General features: G+C 31.0%; 1 long non-coding RNA gene across 7 annotated transcripts in view; it reads left to right on the forward strand.

The window, feature by feature from the left end:
* Positions 1-16130, forward strand: part of LOC105377188 (uncharacterized) — a 98853-nt gene that overhangs the window by 29702 nt on the left and 53021 nt on the right. For 6 of the 7 annotated variants that reach the window (XR_007096264.1, XR_007096263.1, XR_007096266.1 and 3 more), the window contains one exon: positions 7290-7377. This is a non-coding gene — a long non-coding RNA (uncharacterized LOC105377188). Of the gene's footprint in view, positions 1-3044; positions 3142-7289; positions 7378-16130 lie in introns of all 7 variants that reach the window. The other variant, XR_001740800.2, reaches the window with a different exon arrangement.

Below are 16130 nucleotides of genomic sequence, written 5' to 3' on the forward strand. Positions count from 1 at the left end.
TGCAGAAAGAGCAGATTGTTTATTAGATAAGGTTGAGAAAATTCGCTCATTAAATGGAGAAAAATAAACTTGGATCTCTACCTAACTCCACATAGAAAGGTGGACTCCAGATGGCTTAAAACCTTAATGAAAAATAATCCCATAAATTCAACAAACAAAAAAAGTTAACTATCATTTTTACTAAGAAACAATGAAGCATGTCTTAAACAATATTTTGAAAGCACTAGCCATGAAACAAAGCAAACAAAAAGATGAGAGAGTGATGGCATTCAATCAAGATATTAGGACAAAAAGATAAAGGGAGAAAGTGCATAAAACTGATAAGGATTAACATTTAGCACGTAGAGATTTTACTAAAATATACTAATGACTATAAATCAATTGATAGCACTCCAAACAGGAAAATGAACCAAGGAGACAAATAGGCAATGTACAGAAGAGAAAGCTCATAAGCTAAGAAATATATGAAGATATTTTGTAATGTATTAGGAATAAGATAAAGGAGAGTGAGAATACTTAGATATCCCATTAACTTTTATCAATAGAACAATTCCAGTTCTGTGAGTTATGGGGATGCAGAGTCGCTGGTGGCCTGCTGGTGTAGCTATTCTTAAGAGCAGTTGATTCCACGTGGTTAAATAAATCTACATAACTATTAATACAGGAATTAAATTTTGAGTAAATGAGCCCAAGATATTTTCATATAAGTCCATTGAAAGTATGTACAAGGACTTATACAACTTTTGTCTATCCTTAGAAGAATGAATAATTTAAATGTGGTCAAGGCATGCCATGAAATAGTATGTATCAGAAGCAACTAGCTAGTTATACACATAATAACATAGATTTATGTTAAAACCCTAGCACTGAGGAAACAAAATAGAAGCAATAGAGTGAAATATATGCCTTAATCTTATGATAATAAATTCAAACTGTGTGCACTAAAACAACAAGACCTACATTCTAACCATACACACAGCTGAAAATATTCACAGAAGACAGAATAGGTTTTTATGGGGAGAAGGTGAGAAAGAAGAATGTGGGTAAAGCAAAAGACTCAGAGAGAACAGAGTCAGGTGAGGTATCAGTGATGGGCAACAGGTAATAATAACATCAGAGAAAGCTGAAACCTCTGGGAACTAAACTGATTACTACAGGCTGCTCAGCCTTCTCATGAGTCTACCTTATCCTTTGTCTCCTAAGGGTGTTCTTGTCTGTTTTTAAATTTTAACAAATCAGCAGCTGGTGGTTTTCTTGGTACCTATCCAGCAGAAAAGGATGATTGATGTCCTGTGACTTTGCTTGGGGTCCTGAGCTGCTGCATGAAAACCATGTGAATTCCCCCAGACACCCAACACATCAGTAAGAAATTGAAAATTGTGTGAGCCTTGGAATCTAGTGAGAGTTAAAGTGGTTGTGCATACATGAGAAATATCCACACCTGAACTTGAGCATTGGCTTTGTAAACTGGATGGAAATAGCTTAAGCCCTTAGAAAAATATATAATGATTCAAAATCATTTGATATGCTTTCTAGGTTAGTAATTACATCTTTCAATAGCAACAAGTAGTAGTTTGGAAAAGAATGAGTGAACTCAAGTAAAGTACACCAAATCTTAACTGATGAAAAAATCAAACCTACCAATATAACATATATATATATATATATTTATATTAAATTAATTGGTATATAAGTTAATTGGTGGAAAAAACTAGCAACATCTGAATAGAGCTAGGAATTTTTTTTTCTTTTTCTGGCTCATATATATATATATATATGTATGGTGCAATATACATATTTTGATATTTTCAAAAATTTTTGATACATTATCAAATTTGAAGATATTTGTCAATCAAGTAAATGTTAACACACACTGTTTTAAGCACAAGTAAAGTTCAATATGTTTTTACTTTTTTTTTTTTGAGACAGTGTCTCACTCTGTAGTCAGACTGGAGTGCAGTGGCGTGATCTTGGCTCACTGCAACCTCCACCTCCGAGGTTCAAGCGATTCTCCTGCCTCAGCCTCCCGAGTAGCTGTGACTACAGGTGCCTGCCACCATGCCCAGTTAATTTTGTATTTTTAGTAGAGATGGGGTTTCACTATCTTGGCCAGGATGGTTTCGATCCCTTGACCTAGTGATCTGCCCACCTCGGCCTCCCAAAGTGCTGGGATTAAAGGAGTGAGTCATGGCGCCCAGCCTCTTTTCACTTTTTATTGGGCATTTGACATTTATTTCAGTGATTTTTTTGTTCACTTTGAGTTTTTAATTTCAAGATCTCCGCTACTCTGCCTTTTCATTTTATATAATAATGTGGTATAATTTACAATAAGGCATATACTAAAACATAATTGTAAGCAAGAAACACAGTCCAATATGGTCTTGCTTTCTGTTTTTTTCTAATTATTTTGAATTCATTTCAAAGTTACAGTAAAAAATTAAGAAAAGTTAAAAAATTTCATATATCCTTCATACAGATAATCCATTCAGGTTTTGAAAACTATACCAATAATGTATTTTACTTCAAAAATGTCTAACCCAAGATCATCTGTTGCACTTAGATATCATTTAATCCAGAAAAATTCTTCAGTCTCTCTTGACCTTAATGTCCTATACATTTTTGAAGATAACAGAAAAGTTGTATATTAGATTATCTTTTAATTTGGATTTATTTGATACTTCTTCATGATTAGATTTAGATTATGCCTTTGGGGCATAAATATCACAGGAAAACTGCTGTATTTGTGTCATTGAATCCTAATAGTTGCCATGCGATGTCAATTTTTCTCATTATTTGTGATGTTTGATTTAATTACTTGAAGTGACAACAGCAAGGATTCTTTTCTGTAAAATTACTTCTTTTTCTTTGTAAATAAGTAAGCAGTCTGGAGGAGACACATGGAGACTCAGTAGATATCCTATTTCATACTCAGGTTCTAGTAACCTTTCAGCATCAATTGATATTACTTACCTGAATGTAATTATTGTAATGATGCTTCTCAGGGGTGATTTTCTAATTTTATATTTTTTCTATGTTTATTTTAGGCATACTACTGTAATGCAATTTTTCTCCTCCCATCCTTTCATTCGTTTATACTGGGGTGTTCTTGTGGCTTCTCATTTTATTCAATGTAATATAAAGGTGTGTATGTATGTCGGGGGAGTGCTTGTACACACACTGTACTCATGATCATTATTTATTTTGACACTCTAATTTTTCAGTTCATCCAGTAATCAGTATAGCCTCTTCAAACTGGTTTCCATGTCCTGAAAATATGCCATTAATTCTTTGAGCATTTCCTTGCTTTCTTTTATGGCAAAATATTCCACTCTTATCTAGTTCTTTCCCTGCTCCAGTCCTAAGATCACCTTTTTCAAGGAATAGTGGTTCCACTTAGAAGAGAATATTTATAGACTGAGTTCTGAGTTCTTGGTATTCTTATTTCTACAGGGAATTTGCTAGTCCCAGGCCCTGTCGGTGGATAAACTTAGAAAATATATGCATGCATATGCATATACATGGGTACACCTACACAAACACACATACACAGACTTCTACATCTGCAATTAGGTTTTTTAATCTATTAGTTCACATTTATACTTCCAAATTCAATCTATTACTGCAGGATTTATTTTCTTGCATGTGCCCTTTTCATATTTGAATATTTTTCTCCAGGTGTGAAATTTGGCTCCAGTTTTCCTCAATGTATTTATTTAATCCCCCTGTATCTAATTCCCGAAACTTGCTGGACCGACGCCTCACTTATTTCTGCTTAATGGTTATTTGACTAATTACAAAGGAAGGAAGGAAGGAAGGAGGGAATGAAGGAAGGAAGGAGGGAAGGAAGGAAGGAGGGAAGGAAGGAAGGAAGGGAAAGGAAAGAAGGGTGATGAATTTTAACTAATGTGTCTATCAATGTAAACTTCATTTCAATGAAGATATAGAACATTTCTCTCATTCCAATAAGTTCTGTCCTGCTCCTTTTCAGTAAACTCTTCATTACAGTTAAATCACTATCCTAATTTCTATCAGCACAGCTTAGTTTTATCTGTTCTAGAAATTCATGTTAATTGGATCACACAGTATGTATTTCTTTGTGCTTGCTTTGTTCCCATCTGAACATGATTATTTTAAGATTCATCATATTGTATGTATCACTATTTCATTTCTTACTCTTTCTAAGTTATATTACATTTTATAATTACTACACAATTTCTTTATTCATCCATTCCTCAACAGCTGAGTTATTTCAGTTTGGGGTTAGTAGAAAAAAATTGTCATGGAAATTTATACAAGTCTTTTGCATAAATATATTTTTATTCCTCTTGGGTAAAATACCTGGAAGTATAAGTGTGGGTCATATGATATGGGTATTTTCGTTTCTTAAGAAACCTGGAAATATTTTAATAAGTGGTTGTACCATTTTACACTGCTACCAAATATACCTGATGACACTTTTATATGAAGGAATACATTTTGTTATCAATATATGGATGTCTATTCTTCTAAAAACATTCATTCTAATCAATCATTTCCAATACGTGTGTTTAATAATATTTAGAACCTTCTAAGAATATTTATTAAATATTATTTCCTCAGGGAGTGAAGATAAGCCCTTTAGAGATTGAAAAATGAATGGCACAACAAATTTGCAGGATAAACTCATGAATAGACACATAGTGACTTAATCTGTATAATGCTGTAATCACTGAAGATTTGAAGAAAGGCTTTCTCTCTCTATTTATTTCTCTATTCCCACATATCCAATGGGAACTACTAGGTGACCAAAGTGTTTCTTCTGGAAAATTATTTAAAATTAATGACTAAAATAAAAAATAGCATGTTGATCTGATATCACACACTTAATAGTGTATGAAGTGCTAATCTTTCCTCACCAGTGCTTCCCAGTGAGAATTTCTGCTTGCCTTATTATTTATTTTTATGGTTTACCTGAGCATTATATAATGCCATATTGAAAAAGTTCTATTTTCTTCAAACATTCATCTAAGCCATAATTAATTGATTTGTTCCTGTATTAAGGAGAAACTTTCTTTCTGATGAGGCATAAACTATAAACTCATTTTTCCATAATTGACAAGATTGTGATAATACATTTAAAGAATCTTAAATTAATTTTACAGAATTAATATTTATATGTTCACTTCTGTTTGTCTCACCACACATCAAAAATTTACCATAACAGAAAAGCCATTAAAATAAAAGAGCAGCAGAATTAGAGGCTATAAAAGTTCTCATAAAATAGTAACATTTGCAATGTGAAATATTATATACAATTCTGGATAATTTTAGTGTTCTAAGACATTATATATTATTAAACAGGAAATAGCCTCAAGCATGTACATTTTGATAATGAAGATATATGTAAAATAAATACTTTATAACCATACTTTATCTTAGTAATTATACACAGCATTAATAAAGGAAAATAATTAAGTATAAACATACTAAAATGGTGGTCTGGTTATGCATTTGTTAAGTAGAACTGATTTATTTTCTATTATACGCATTTAAACTAATATTTAGCAGCCTCATTTACCTTTACAAAACTAAAACTCACTATTGTAAGAGAAACATTTTCATAAATCTATTGATCTCTACTTATTTTAGAATAAACCCTTGTATAGAGTGAAGAATACAAAAGTAAGTTTGACATGCTTTGCTCAGTGAGTTACGCACACTAGCTTTGCCATGATACTCAGTGAAAAATACTCTTAGGTAAACCTTTATTTAATTGGAAAAAATACTCCTCCTCTTTATTTTTTACTAGGAAACATATGTCTCAACAATTACCAACCCATGCCTCTTATTCTTTGACATTAACTACATTAAATTTTGGCAATATATTTGATAAAATACAGAACAAGCATTCTTACTATTATAAGCATAGCATTTATTAAGATAAACTAGTAAGAGTATGTAAGAAAAAATACTATAAGAAAGAACATAAATATTTGTATAATATTAGTATTTTATGACTACTCAGGAAGCAAATAATGTAGATTATAAGATTGCAGCAGATAGCTCATATCCCCCTTATTCTTCTGTTTTGTATTTTACTACATAGCTTTCAGATATTAGTTTTACTGAGTAAATAAAAAACAAATGAGACAAATTAATGAAAACAAGGCTCTAAGTTCCAATAAATAGATTAAATAAAGAGCCAACTAAAGAGAAATAATATCACTTGTTCAGTTCATTCATAGGGGTACAGCAAAACTTCACAATAGCATTACATACAAAAATCTTGAAATTACCAAAATTTGCTCGTATTATAATATTAAGACTCTACTGTACATATTACAGCATAGTTAAGCCATCTGGGTGACTTAATTATATCTCAATGGTCTAAGAAATATTTACTGCTAAAAACATTTTTAATTTTTCTTCTATCGAAGTATAAGACAAATAAATTAGTGAATCACTTTTTTAAAAGAAAAATGTAGAAGTGTGAGGAGGCAGAACTGAGGTATTTACATACATTTTCATAATATTTATGTGAATTTATAGTAAATATAAAGTAAGTAAAACTTGACACAATACTAACTGAAAATTACTTCAGTGTTTTGTGTTTTATTATGTATGGAAAAAAAGAAAAAACAGAGTAACAAATCTAAAAGTGACACACATAAAGAATGCTTATTGGAAAACAAATTATCCTAGAAGCTAAATAAATGTTCAGGAAAATACTTTTTCTTAATGATAAAGGTAGTTTTTAAAAAGCAATAAGATAATCAAAGAACAGTTGCAAGTTAACAATGATTGATGATAAAATACATAAAAGGGAGAAGAAAAGTGAGTTAGTGATTTAAAAAATGGAAGGGAAAGTTGCTCTGGGAAATAATTATAGAAATCAAAATCATTTGGTGTATTGAATGATAATATTAAGTTTGCCTAAAAACATTCTGAAAACTATAAGACAGTTTTGAGAAAAGTATAACATAAAATGGACAAGAAAACAGTGTGTATATTGATATAGAAAGCCTTCAAAAATACAGTATTAAACAAAAGTAGTCTATTATTATTCTTTGATACAATAATTTTACTAAATATGTACTAAAAAGTTATTCATATGCATAAGTACATATATATTCAAGATATATGCACATATACATATGTAATTCTTCTAAATATGGGTATTGGGTTAGATAAAGTAGGCCCTACTCTGCACACACAATTTCCGTAATGATGAAGTTAAAAAAAAGTTAATGTAATATTAAGTTAATGCTGAAAAAATGTTAAGTCATTCTCTACTCTTATGTTTCTTCCAGTAGTATGATGCCTCTGGCTTCCCTCTATCACACGTCTTCTTTTCGAGTAAAGGTTTTTCATAAATGTGAGCGTGGAAGAAGAAACCAGGTATGTCCACATAGATAAGTCCCTTCCCCCTCACCTCTCTGGACTATGGCTGACTGCACAGGTCATAGGTTCTTAAATTCGTTATACTTTGGGTTGTCAATAGCCAGTATTAACAGGTCTTTCCTCTAGAAAGTGGAAAGAAATATTTTTTTAAAAAATTACTAGCTATTATGTAATACAATTTTTTTAAATGAATAATTTCTAATTGCTTTCACAAAAATTTTTAAAAAAGCTTTAATTTTTAAAGCTAAATAAGTATGCTATTGTTGGAATTTTTACAAAACAATTTAAAAAAAGGAATGATAATTTTATAAAAATTTTGTTCCCATATACCTAAGTGAGAAAGAGTTTCTCACTTAACACTATACAACAAACAATAGGGATAAAATGAAACATGGTACTAAAGGGTGAATATTGTCTTATTTAGGATTAAATAATATCCATCCACAGACAATAACCAATTACAATAATTAGTAAACATATTTGCCCAGTAAGGAATTCAGTTACAGTAAAAGTTTCCTTATTTTTAATTTTTGTTTGCTTGAGGAATTATTTACTAGTAATTTTAATAAATTCTCATTTGTGACTAAAAACTTTAACTTAGAACCATAGAGGCCAATATTTTTTTAAAAATAAATTATAATATTTAATCCACATTTTTGCAGAAAGTTATAATAATTAAATCAATATAACATTATAAAGCATGAAATATATTACAATAAACTCTTTGGGTGTGATGAAATAAAAATACACATCAAATACTTATGAATAAACCAAAATTTCTCTTGGAGATGAGCTTTTTGATGTATTTCAAAATGTTTACTTATAGGTTTCAAAGTGTTGTATTAACAGTGTAATGTAATAGTATTTTAAAACATTTATATTTAAAACATGTTGAAATGACTGTTTACATTTAAATTAATATAAAAACTGTAGGAAATAAAGTGAAAAAATATGAGAGAATATATGCTTTCTCAAATAATTTTTAGTGGAAAGCATAAGCCAAAAGACATGCACCTATTTTTTATTTTAACTTTTTGATTATGAATATGTAATAGTTGTACAAATTTATGGAGTACATGTGATATTTTGACACAAGCATGCAACGTATAATGATCAAATCAGTGTAATTGGGGTATCTATCACTTCAAGCATGTACAATTTGTTTGCATTAGGAAAATTCCAATTACATTCTTTTTTTTTATTTTGAAGTACGCAATACATTATATTGTCATCCTATTGTGGATACAGTCATCCTATTATGCAACCAAAACACTAGATTTTATTCCTTCTATCTAACTGTAGTTTTATACCCATTAACGATCTTAACTTTATCCCCTGCTTCACTGTTTCCCAGCCTCAGGTAACCATCATTCTACTCTGTATCTTCATGAGTCCAATTTTGTTTTGTGAGCTGCCACATATTAGTGAGAAAAATGCAGTATTTGTCATTCTGTGCTTGGCTTATTTTACTTAACACAATGTCCTCCAGTTTCATTCATGCTTTTATAAATGACAGGATTTAATTTTTTTATGGCTGAATCTTGCATTTTGTATTGGAATCACATTTTCTTTATCCCTTTATGCCTCCATGGACACTTAGGTTGAGTTCACATCCTGCGTACTGTAAATAGTGCTGCACAGGAGTGCACATAACTCTTCAATATACTGATTTCCCTTTCTTTGGGTTATATACACAGCAGCAAGATTGTGGATCATATAGTAGTCCAATTTTAATTTTTTGGGTCACCTCCATATTCGTTCTCCATAGTGGTTTTACCAATTGACATTTCTACCAACAGCGTACAAGGGTTTTCTTTTCTCAAAATCTATATCAGCATTCGTTATTGCCTGTTTTTTTAAGCCATTTTAATTGAAATGAAATAATATCTGATTGTAGTTTTAATTTGCACTTATTTAACGATTAATTGTGCTGAGCATTTTTTTAGGTACTCTTTGGCCATTTGTATGTCTTCTTTTCAGAACTATCTATTCGGATTGCCTGCTTTTTAACTGGAATCTTTCATTTTTCTATTGAGTTGTTTGAGCTTATATGTTATGGTTATTAACACCCTGTCAAATGGGTTGCAAATATTTTCTCCCAGTTTGTGGGTTCTTTCTTCACTTTGTTGGTTGTGTCCTTTGCCGCACAGAAGCTTTTTCATTTGATGTGATTCTGTGTCCATTTTTGCTTTTGTTCCCTGTGCTCTGGAGGTCTAACTCATGAAATCCTTGCCCAGACCAATGTTCTGAAGTGTTTCTCTAATGTTTCCTTCTGCTAGTTTCATAGTTTTGAGATATAAGTATCTAATCAATTTTGATTTGATTTGTGCATGGTGAGAGATACAGTTCTAGTTTCATCTTTTGCATATGGATATTCCAGCACCATTTATTACAGAGACTGTCTTTTCTCCAATGTATGTTCTTGACACCTTTGTTGAAAGTGAGCTGACTGTAAACATGTGGATTTATTTCTTGGTTCTCTATTCTGTTGCATTGGTCTAAGTGTCTGTTTTTTCTGCAAATACCTTGCTGGTTTGGTTACTAAAGTTTTGCAGTATAATTTGAAGTCAGGCAATATGATGCCTCCAGTTTTATTCTTTTTGCTCAGGAATTCTTTGGCTCTTCTGGATTGTTTGTGGTTCCATATAAATTTAAGGATCTTTTTTTTTAAATTTATGTGAAGAACTTCACTGGTATTTTGATAGGGATCACATTAAATCTGTAGATTGCTTTGGGTAGTATGAACATTTTAACAGTACTGACTCTTCCAAACCATGAATGTGGAATACCTTTCATTTTTTTTTGTTTTTTGTTTTTTTTTGAGCAATGAGACAAAAAATGGAAAGGAAGAACTCAACTTATTCTTGTTTACAGAAGGTACGATCTTATGTTTAGAAAACCCTAAAGAGTCAACCAAAATAACTATTAGAACTGATTTAAAAAATCAGTAAATTTGCAGAATGCAAAATCAACACACAAAAATCAATAGCATTTCTATAAACCAAAAGTGAACAATCTGAAAAAGAAATCAGGAAAACAATCCAATTTACAATAACTATAAATAACATAAAATGCAGTGAAAACTGTAAAATATTGATGAAACGCATTGAAAAGGCATGTATTTATGGTTCAATTTCCATTTTATAGATGAGGGCTGTGAAGACAGGTGAAATTATTGTTAACGTAGAAAATGAAAAAATCTAAACAGTATTTTCAGGACAAATGGTATTTATTTCCACCAGATTATATTTTTAATATATTTTAAGTGATAAAAATATGTAGCTGATAATTTAGTCCTAAAATTATATAATCACATATGCTGTCTAATTTCTCAAATTTAGGACCCCATGATGGAGTCAAAAATATCATCATACTTTGGATTACTTGTGTATGTATATATGTATGTATGTATGTGTTTGCTTACCACTCTACACATGGTATAATGTTGAAAGCTTCTTTAGATATTGCTTTTGTGGAGAAACTGAGGCTCAAGATAAAAGGTTATTTTTCCCTTTGTTAAATAATTCATTCTTGATGTGTCTAACCAAATTAGGCTCTAGGACTACGGGTTGCTCATTTGCATTTGTATCAATTCCACGAAACTCTAATTTGTATGAAATTAAATTAGTCACATTACAAAGTTGGAAAATATTTCTTTTAATTTTTACTGGACATCTTATATTTTTGTCATATTTTGCTATAGGTATTTGGATAAATGGACAGAAAACTAAATCCAAAAAAAAAAAAAAGTGTATTCTTGAGGACAGCCAGCTAAGTCAAACTTAAGGGTGAAGAGTTTGTGTATGAGTCAAGAGTTTAACAATGGAGGCCATTTGTCAAACTGGTTGTGTGTAGCAATACAAACATTTGCCACAGGTGGTGGAAATAGACACCGAATTCAAATAACAGGAAAAAGTAGAAAGTAAGGAAGTAGAGACAGCAAATGTAAACTATTTTCTCAAGAATCTTGGCCGTGCCTTCCATAAAGATAAAAATGACGTACTTTAGCACTGAGAAACAAGTGATCGAATCTTGCTTATGACACTTTTTAATAGCTGTGTGATTTGGGGCAAGCCACAAACTGTTGAAAGCTCAGCCTCTCAAGATGCGAACTGAGGGTAAAAATATCTGTATCAGCTGAGTGCGGTGGCTCACGCCTGTAATCCCAGCATTTTGGGAGGTCGAGACGGGCGGATCACGAGGTCAGGAGTCAGAGACCAGCCTGACTAACATGGTGAAATCCCATCTCTACTAAAAATACAAAAATTAGCCGGGCGTGATGGTGCAGGCCTGTAATCCCAGCTACTCAGGAGGCTGAGGCAGGAGAATCGCTTGAACCCGGGAGGCACAGGTTGCAGTGAGCCGAGATTGTGCCGCTGCACTCCAGCCTGGGTGACAGAGTGAGACTCCATCTCAAAAAATAAATAAATAAATAAATCTATCTCATGGGGTTATTGCAGGCATTATAGGAAATTATCTATTAAAAGTAATTAACACACTTCTCATCATATAGTAAGTATGTAACACATAGAGTACACAACACTAAATACAGTATAAAGAAATAGCTAATTTAAGGGTATATTTTGCACAATAATTTTAAATATAAAATGTGCTTAAAATAATTCATAAAAATTATTGAAGGAATTAATTCATATTCAAATTATTGGGAGCATTTTAATTTAACATATATTTTTATTAAGATAAAAACAAACAAACAAACAAACAAACAAAATCATTTTATTCTAGATAGGGAGACCAAACCGAAATTCCTGATTTGATGAAAGGTAACTGTTTTAGTCTTCTCATATTGCTATAAACAAAATACCTTACACTAGGTAATTTTTAAAGAAAAGAGGTTTAATTGGCTCATGGTTCCTCAGACTGTATAGGAATCACGATGCTGGTCATCTGCTTGGCTTCTGGGAGGCCTCAGGAAACTTACAATTATGGTGGAAATCGAAGGGGAAGTAGTCATGCCTTACATGGCAGTAGCAGGAGGAAGGGGCAGGGAGGTACTACACACTTTTTAACAACCAGGTCTTACGATAACTCATTCACTATCACACTACAATACCCAGGTAAAAATTCTCCCTCATGATCCAATCACTCCCACTAGGTCCCACCTCCGGCATTAGAAATTACATTTCAACATGACATTTGGGCGGGGACACAGATCCAAGCCATATCAGTTACATAAAATTTTCTATTTTCCAATTTAAAATTAAATACTTTGAATCTAATTGCTAACAAGTTAGATCAACATAAATAACTCTTCATAAATTTCTCTAGATTTATGATTCTCAAACATCTACTAAAAATTATGACAGATAGAAATAATGTTAGTCCCAGCCTCTGCTCCTCCTATTGTTACTTTGTAGCTAATTTGGGGTGCTATGAATTTGGTTGTTAGAAGAAATTCAGTAAAAAATTTATGACCAATTCTTAAAAATGTTTTAGCCATGTGTTTATATACATGCGTGTCTGATTTTTTTCGTTACAGATATAACCTGATTTGAAAGTCACAGAAATAATCTGATTTGAAACCATGATAGATCATGATAGTCACCAAAAAGTAGTTAACATTTTCATTTTTATGACTACATGGGTGATATGCATAAAAGTATAACAATAGTCCTCACTGGACTCTAATTTAGAACCAAGCAAGCCTTTGTTTTTCATTTATTTTTATCAAATTAAAATAACATCCTTTATTTCTCAGCAAAAGTATGTTTTCATTTTCATCATGTTTTGTATATTTATTTTGCTGTTGTGCAAAAGATAGTGTCATTTTATTTGGTGGTACAATACTTTCAGAACTGTTTAAAAAAGTTAAGCTTAAATAATTATTATCTAGTTTATGTGCATAAAAAATTAATGTAAAAAAATCCACAATATTTTGCCATTTGACTAGTGTAGATCAAATATAAATGTTTATTTAGTATGATTTTTAGAATTATATAGAAATCTGATTATTTTAGCAATTTGATGTTTTTTATCTGTTCTTGTATGGAAGAAAGAAAAATGTTAGATTTGCGTATTGCTCTTACTAAATTGACATTAATTCTTACATAATATGATCAAATAGGTGTTTGCAATAAAATTGTATGTGTTGCTTTGATATACTCACATATGAAGGACTATTTGTAATAATTTTGTAGTAAAATTCATAGTTTTATTTTAGAAGGCTCCAATATTTCAGGTGTGATACTTTATAAGAAAAATTCAGGTTTTCTGCAGTATTATTGAAAGGCAAAATAAATCGTGAGCAGTACATAACTTAAGTGAGATATTAATGTTTTTATATCTATTTATACATTTAGCATTTATACAACTTTCTCAGTATATTACTAATTATAAAACAATATAACGCTTATCTATGTAACTGAGCAAAACCACCTACAAACTGTCAACAAATGTTGATGCACCTCTTCTGTAAAAACGTAATGGTTATTTTCCTGTGGCATCAGAATATTAAATTTGAGATACACTGTGATTAATTGATCAAGGACAGTTCTTGTTGAGTAATTATATTTAAGAAGGATCTGTCAATACCATTTGCTTTCAATTGTCATATTAAATCTAAGATAATGAGTACAGGTGTACTGAGTGATGTATGAAATAATGCAATTGAGTGAAAAAATTCAAATAAAAATATAGATAATTAAGAACTAAAAGTAGGCAAAGTAAGATAATAGGGTGAGATTCATTGACTGCCTTCAGGATACTGAAAAATCAAACAAGTCTGCCAATGATTTAAATGTTCCACTTAGTACACTGAAAATATTTCCTAGACATACTTCATAAAATAGCATCACGAGGCCTAGACAAGGTCACAAAGTAATATTTAAACTAATACCAAATGATCTAAAACTTAAAAAACTGGTGTGGTCCAAGGAGAATATGGTTAATAGTTTTATAGAGGAGTATCAAATGTAATTTATAATTCTAAAACTATAACTAGGAGGAAATTAACATATTATTGTATTAGAATTTACCATATTCTGATTTTGCAGTTCTCAAAAAATATATGTTTACACGTATAAGTTGTTTGTAAGTAGCATGCTCTCAGAACTCAGTAAATATGTGTATTTTGCAAATCAGATGAGATTTACCATTTAATGAAGAAAATAATTTAAAAAGGAAAAGTTATACACATAAAAGCCATGATGTTAAGTTAAAATATTCCCCTAATCAGAAGTATAATTATAAAACCAAGCTAAGACCAAAATGAATAAAATAGTTTTTTAAAACATAGTATATAATGTACTAAAATTCTGAAAGTTATTTATAAAGCTTGTGTACAGGCCCAGATTAAATAAGAAAATATTTTATCATTTAGAAAGTTATTTATTTAATTCAATGTGTAATTATTTAACTAACCTAATCTCAGTTTGCACACCTCGGTAGTATGGTTGTTGTTACCTGCTACCTGTGGTTGATCACTTTAATGAATTGCAATATACTGAAAGCTCTCCAGTTATTAATGCTTTGCTGTAGGATTAAAGCTATTGCCAAATTCAGAATAATTTATCCAGTGTTAATTATAAAAGTGTTTATTAGATGTCTCTGTAGAAATAATAATTTTATTTTATCTTTAAGTTCCATAGAGTAGGAGTACCAGGTTTCAAATGGTTGGAAAAATTAAATGTTAGAAAATGGAATTGTTAAATTCAAATGTTTATTATTGTTCAAATAATCAAGTTAGGAAAGAGAAAATTGATGTGCAACTTGTTCTCCATACCAGTTATGACTTAGCATTTTAAACAATTAAGAAGAATAGTTCCAAACTACAATGTATAGACTACCATGAAAAAAAAATGCTCACTTTCTCAAAATATATGTGAGTTTTGATTAGGAGACTTCAAATTACAGTACTCAGCTTACAGATGTATTGAGGTCATCTATAGTGTTGATCTACATATCTCTGGGATAAAAGATAAAATGTTGGAAAAGCAGTTCTTGCATTTTTTCTAGCTGTTTAGTTTCTTTTGGGATGTGTGCCCAGTTTTCCTACATCTTCCATTACTAAAGAGATTGTGGTAATATGGATTTTTTTATGACAAGGATATTCATAAAATTCCTGATGTACACACACAAATTATATTCATATAGTCTTGTGTGAGGTTTGTGAGTAATACATAGACTGTACTCAGAGTTTTAAAATTAATTGTTCTTTAAATTTTAGGATAGTCCTTTACACAAAATAATTCATTGATTTATGGAAAGTCTGCAATGAAAAATGACATGTACAGTCTCATAAGTGTTTTGTCAGCCTCTAAATTGTGAAGAAAAAAACCAAAATGTTTCAAAATTGGTTAAGTTGGATGCTTTCCCTTTCTCCAAATTTAAGTGGTGGGCAACAAAGCCCCTAGGAGACTCTAAGATTTTCAAAGTGACTTAAATCCTTCTTAGTTGTTTGAAAGTTGTACCTGATTTCAAGGATAGCTTTTTATCCTAATAAAATTTTTTGATAAAGGATACATATTATATCACATAGTTCATACTATGTAACAGAGTTTTTTTCTTTTAATGAAAGTTTATTTTTATACTTTGTAGAGACAGTTCTTTTTTTATTATTATTATACTTTAAGTTTTAGGGTACATGTGCACAACGTGTAGGTTAATTACATATGTATACATGTGCCATGTTGGTGTGCTGCACCCATCAACTCGTCATTTACATTAGGTATATCTCCTAATGCTGTCCCTCCCACCTCCCCCACCCCACAACAGGCCCCCCAGTGTGTGAT

The sequence above is a fragment of the Homo sapiens genome, chromosome 3 (assembly GCF_000001405.40).
Source record: "Homo sapiens chromosome 3, GRCh38.p14 Primary Assembly".
In the NCBI taxonomy this organism is placed as follows: domain Eukaryota; kingdom Metazoa; phylum Chordata; class Mammalia; order Primates; family Hominidae; genus Homo; species Homo sapiens.